This window comes from Homo sapiens, chromosome 11 (genome assembly GCF_000001405.40).
Source record: "Homo sapiens chromosome 11, GRCh38.p14 Primary Assembly".
Classification (NCBI taxonomy): domain Eukaryota; kingdom Metazoa; phylum Chordata; class Mammalia; order Primates; family Hominidae; genus Homo; species Homo sapiens.
Window position 1 is genome coordinate 112,527,037 of NC_000011.10, and position 6,356 is coordinate 112,533,392.

The following is a 6,356-nucleotide window of genomic DNA, read 5'->3' on the forward strand; positions in this document are numbered from 1 at the left end:
CTAGGGAAGAAGGAAAAGAGAGAATCATTGAAAAGGAGATAAATGGAGAACAGAGGGCTGACTGGGAAAGAATGAGGATCCCCCAGGGATGTCTCAGTGGGCTGGAGGAGTGCCCTCAGACTGGATTAGACTTCTCTCTGGACCCCCTCCCTCCACATGCTTTCTGATTGTGTCTTTGGGTGGTTGCAGCCTCTACCAGATGACTGCACATTACACAATAACAAGGGCGAGTTGTGGGATCCTCCCTGTGGTAAGTGCTCAGTGCATGTTTGTTTACTGAGATGAATAAATGAGTCCTATCCTAGGGACAGCAGGGATTTGGGAAAGTGGAGAGAAATCCAGCCTGAGGAAGGAAATCCTTAAAAAACAAAAGTCCTCTTTGAGATTAGGTTCTACGTCCAGGCTAGGCAGAGGCAGTCCTGGAGAGGTGAACACCTGGCAGGTGGCTATGCTGCCTGCTGGAGGGTCCACCACAGAGCCCTTCCCACTCCATGGAGGCTGCTCATGCTCTGTGAGCCCCTGGGTAACAGCCTGCCTGGAGCCAGGAGCTGAGGCTCTTTCCATTCTTGCTTCCAGGGAAAGAAGTGGGTGAACTCTCTGCTCCGGAGTCTGAAAACTGTCAGGAAGGGAGGCATAAGTGGCACCAGGGGTGGAGAAATATGGAACATCAGGAGTCATCCTGGTATTTTGGAAGAAGCTTCAGTGTCAGAGCAGAGTCATCCATTCAGTAGACATTTATTGAGCGTTTAGGCTATATCAGACATTGTGCTAAACACAGAGGGGTGAGTGAGACAGACAGCCCCTGCCTTTGTAACGGTTATAATCGGGTAGAGAAGACAACAAATCCACACTTACAATGTAGTCTGAAAGAATTATTTTGGGGTGCTATGGGAGACAGAAGATAGCCATGGAATCCAGATTTGGGGTTGCTGGGTAGTGACATCTAAGCTAAAACTGTGAGTAGGAATTGGCTAGGAAAAAGGAAGTATTATGGCCTGAATGTGTCTCCCCAAAATTCCTGTGTTGAGATCTAACCCTCAATGTGATGGAATTAGGAGGTGGGGCTTTTGGGAGGTAATCAAGTCATGAGGGCAGAACCCTCATGAGTGGGGTAAGTGCCCTTATAAAAGAGGCCGCAGAGAGCTGCCTTGCCCCCTTCCACCAGGTAAGGACACATGAGACACATGCCCTGTATGAACCAGGAAGCCAAACCTGTTGGCACCTTGATCATAGACTTCCCAGCCTCCAGAACTTGGAGAAATAATTTTCTCCTGTTTATAAGCCATCTGGTTTATGGTCTTTTCTCATAGCAGCATGAACTGACTAAGAAAGGCAGAAAGGGAATAGGAAGGTAGTTTCAGACAGAGGGAGTAAAAACCTGACCTATTAAAAGGATCTGAAATAGCCCAGTCTGGCTGAATGTGAACTCTCAATGGAACAATGGTGAGAGATGTGTCTGCAAGACCTGGTCCGCCATGATGAGGAGCTTAGGCTCTGTCTTGATATAAACTGAAAAAAGCTGTGGCTCTGTGTTTCTTAGTTTCTGTATAGAGCTGCATTTGGAGAAGAGCAAGCCAACCAACAAATAATAATTTGATTTAAATCTGTATTGAGATCTCTTAAAGAATGCTAAGAGGAATCCATTTCACCCACATACCACTTCTCAGAAATCCCCCCTTTTCCTCCCTAATTGTCTCACTTCCCACAGCTCCCAAATCCCAAACTGTTTCTCCAGCCCTACTCACTTGGTTTCCTTCCTCTCTCTTTTGCCCCCTGCCCCTCGCCCCTAGCCAATGCTGTGTGAATCTAATGACTGAGTCAGCTTAAAACAACATTAACTCAGAGCTTAAAACATGAGCTTGATAAACCTTTCTCATCCTAACAGCAATTCCTGATTTTACGTGTGTCCAACCAGCCTTACAAGGGTTGAGGAGGCGGAGTATCTTTGCATTTGGACTTTCTTGAGGCCATCACATACCCTTCTGATGCTTCTACCGTGATCCAGGCAGGGTAGAAATAAAGGTGATCTGAGAAGACCTAACCCAAAGGAAACAAAAATCAGAGCCCAGATCCCCCAGCTGAGCCATTAAACCAAAGGGGCTGGGAAGAGACAGTAAATCCAGACATGAGGCCATTGGATAGAAATGGGAAATGACATGAAAACGAAAACCACTTCAAAATGAAAAAGATGGAGCCAGGAAAATTTCCCTGTACTGAGGAGGGTAGCACCAGAATTTTTCCAAGGCAACTGCAGCCTCATGACCTGTGATGGAGGGAAAGAAGGCTGGTGATGGTAGCCAGCCAGCCTGCTGAGTGGCCCGTGATTGTACATTTCAATTCCTGCAGACAGAGAAACAAGGATAGAGAAAAAAGAAGGGGAAAGGAGGTGAAAGAAGGTGAAAGGGAAGGGAGGAAGGCAAGACGGAAGCCGAAGCAGAAGCAGGAATAGAAACCAGAAATAGAGAGGCAGCATGTCATTCCGGATTCTACCACAGCTCCATCACAAACTGAGTTCGGGGAACTCTCTCTCCAAGAGTCCTAACTCCTGGTTTTTATCTCTAATTGGTTTTAGTAGGAACTGTTGTGGAATGTTTTTTTTCCTTTTTAAAAAATCCAAGGAGATTTTATGCTTTTAATAAGCTTTCCTGTTCCTGAACTGCTGTGGATAAACCATGATCCCAGAAGCCAGTTCCAGTTCTTAGTAGACAGGCAGGAAGCATTCAGTGAGAGATGCTCCCCAAGCACCTCCGAGTCCAGAGTTGTCTTGTAGAAATCCCAGGCTGGACAGCCTTAGGGATATGTGGAACAGACAACCTGAAGGCCAGAACAATCATGAGAGGGTGTGGACCACACCCCAGCAGCCATCCAGCTATCTCTAGGAGCCAGATCCCAAACCGCTGAAGGTAACATTGGTCCTGGATGTGAAAGGATGTTTACTAAGACATGTGTACCCCAACTTCTCAGGCCTTAAGCCAGCCCGAGCTGCTGTGTGTGTGCACAAGTGAGTGCGCGCATACACACACCCTAATATACCCTCATCTAGGATTAGCAGCTGGAACCTAGCCTGATAATGTATACACATGGGTGAATCTAGACACCAATGTGGCCTGAGTTGTCTGAGTAACTGGTCTAGGCTTTTCCACTAGTTCTATGGGCCCTGCTGACACTCCCTGAAAGAGCTGGGCCAGCCAGGCCATTTCCTGGACCCCAGTCTCTAAGAGTATGTCAACATTGCCAAGTGGTTAAATAGAAATAACTTCTCACAACAAGAGTATTCTTTTTTAAAAAAATTTTTATTTCCATAGGTTTCTGGGGGACAGGTGGTGTTTGGTTACATAAGTAAGTTCTTTAGTGGTGATCTGTGCAATTTTGGTGCACCCATCACCCGAGCAGTATACACTGCACCCAATTTGTAGTCTTTTATCCCTCACCCCCTTCCCACCCTTTCTCCCTGAGTCCTCAAAGTTCATTGTGTCATTCTTATGCTTTTGCATGCTCATAACTTAGCTCCCACTTATGAGTGAGAATATACTATGTTTGGTTTTCCATTCCTGAGTTACTTCACTTAGACTAACAGTCTACAATACCATCCAGGTTGCTGCAAATGCCATTGATTCATTCCTTTTTATGGCTGAGTAGTGTTCCATCATTCATATATATATATATATATATATATATATATATATATATACATATACACACACACACATTCATATATATACACATTCATATATATACACATTCATATATATATACACACACATATATATACACATATATACATACATACACATATATATACACACATATACATATATCTACACATACACACACACACACACCAGTTTCTTTATTCATTCCTTGATTGATAGACATTTGGGTTGGTTTCACAGTTTTGCAATTATGAATTGTGTTGCTATGAACAAGCATGTACAAGTATCTTTTTTGTATAGTGACTTCTTTTCATCTGGGTAGATACCCAGTAGTGGGATTGCTGGATCAAATGGTAGTTCTACTTTTAGTTCTTTAAGGAATCTCTCCACTGTTTTCCATAGTGGTTGTACTAGTTTACCTTCCCATTAGCAGTGTACAAGTGTTCCCTGATCACCACATCCATGCCAACATCTACTATTTTTTGATTTTTTGATGATGGCCATTATTTTTTTTTTTTTGAGTTGGAGTCTCACTCTGTCACCTAGGCTGGAGTGCAGTGGTGCAATCTCAGCTCACTGCAAGCTCCGCCTCCCGGGTTTATGCCATTCTTCTGCCTCAGCCTCCTGAGTAGCTGGGACTACAGGTGCCCGCCACCATGCCTGGCTAATTTTTGTATTTTTAGTAGAGACAGGGTTTCACTGTGTTAGCCAGGATGGTCTTGATCTCCTGACCTTGTGATCCACCTGCCTTGGCCTCCCAAAGTGCTGGGATTATAGGCATGAGACACTGCGCCTGGCTGATGATGGCCATTCTTGAAGGAGTAAGGTGGTATTGCATTGTGGTTTTGATTTGCATTGCCCTGATCATTAGTGATGTGTGATTTTCAGAAGATATACAAATGGCCAACAAACATATCAAGAAGAGTATTCTATAAGCTCAGTAGGAAGGCTTTGATAAATAGCTTGAGGGTAAAGGGTGAGGCCTCCCAAGGGACAAACTTGATCAACAATAAATAGCTGCTAAATCGCCTTTTAGAGAAGGTGGGTCCAATGAAACCCAGGGCTCTTGTTTTAGTGAGGGGGGCTTGAGTGTTGGGGGGTAAGAGCAAATTGCTCAGAGAAGCTGAGAGCTGGAAGTACTTTTTTCTTCCTCTGCCTCTCCCTGTCTGGAGTTTAAGCACTCTCTTATGGCCTTGGGTTGCCTTGGCCACCTTCTCTGATGGCATTTATATGAACACATTGCATTTATTGAGAAGGCCAACTTTTGTTCTACCTCCTTTCAGGGGGCTTCCCCTCTCCCACCACCTCCACAAAGGGCTCATGAATGCAAGCCCCAACACCAACCAGTTTATTGGCCCTCTCCCCAAGCCCTTGCTGTTGGTGGTCTCCTCGCCTGTTCTTGGCCTCACTGTCCCAGGCTGGGTCTTGGCTCCTGGCTCACTGAGAGCTAGACTTTGCCAGCTCCCGTCCTTTTTGATTTGGGTGACCCTATTCGTCCTGAGTTTTTAAGCTTTGGATTCTTGAAGTTTTATGCTCTGACTATTTGGGTTTTGGGAAGCCTCTGTTGTTTCAGATGAGAGGACTCCACCATGGCTATGAATCATGGAATCTTCTAGAAATAACCCCTTCTCAGTCCTGTTGGGCCTTATACTTTATACTGGGATGTGCAGATCTGAGCATGGGAAAAATTGGGCTGTAGAAGCAAGGCATTTTTTTTTTGGATGAGAAGATCCTTTAAACTTGCTGGCAAGGGGTTGAAACAGCACCTCCACATTCGAGCTCAGAGATAACCCTGTGAAGAACTCATAGTTATCATTGACTGAACACCTACAATAGTCGATTCTTGTTATTTGCAGGAGTTGTGTTCTGTGATGTTTCTGCTAATGTTGAATTAGCCAATAATGAACCATTGTTTCTAGGGGAAGTGCAGACCTGTGAGCCTCTGGTCACATGTTCCTCAACTGATCCATACATAACCTTGTCTTGTGTGTGTTTCTGTTTAAAGTCACCTTATTTGGTATGCATTGTTGATTCATTAACATTGAACTCATGGCCAATAGCACTAGAACTCATGCCTGAGTGAAGTTTACCTAACACACATATATTCTCCCTAAGGCACTTCACAGCCTTCCTGCACATAGGAATTCTAGAAAGTGCTTTAACATTACACTTGGTGGCCATTTTACATAGTAGAATGACCAAAAAAAAAAAAAAAAATACTTGTTAGGTGAGTGTGGTAGCTCACATCTGTAACCCCAGCACTTTGGAGAGCTGAGGTGGGTGGATTGCTTGAGCCCAGGACTTCGGGACCAGCCTGGACAACACAGTGAGACTTTGTTTCTACAAAATATTAAACAATTAGCGAGGTGTGGTGGTGCATGCCTATAGTCCTAGTTATTCAGGATGCTGAGGTGGGAGGATGGCTTGAGCCCAGGAGGTTAAGGCTGCAGTGAGCCATGATTGTGCCACCACTGTACTCTAGCCTGGATGACAGAACCAGACCCTGTCTCAAAAATAAAAAAGGACATTTGTTTATAGTATGAGAGCTGAAATGAGAAGGCAGAGCCTCCCCTTGCTCCATCTCACCTGGGAATGTGCACATCAGGCTTCTCAAAATTGTCACTGCTCTGTGCATGCTTGCAAATGACCGCAAAAAGTGCTTCGGGCATTGATTTTGGGGTTATACATAAATTTAAGCGAGGA

At 44.7% G+C, this 6,356-nt stretch overlaps 1 long non-coding RNA gene across 1 annotated transcript in view; it reads left to right on the plus strand.

Annotated features, from left to right (window-relative positions):
* Positions 1-6,356, plus strand: part of LINC02763 (long intergenic non-protein coding RNA 2763) — a 59,685-nt gene that overhangs the window by 44,805 nt on the left and 8,524 nt on the right. The window lies entirely within an intron of this gene.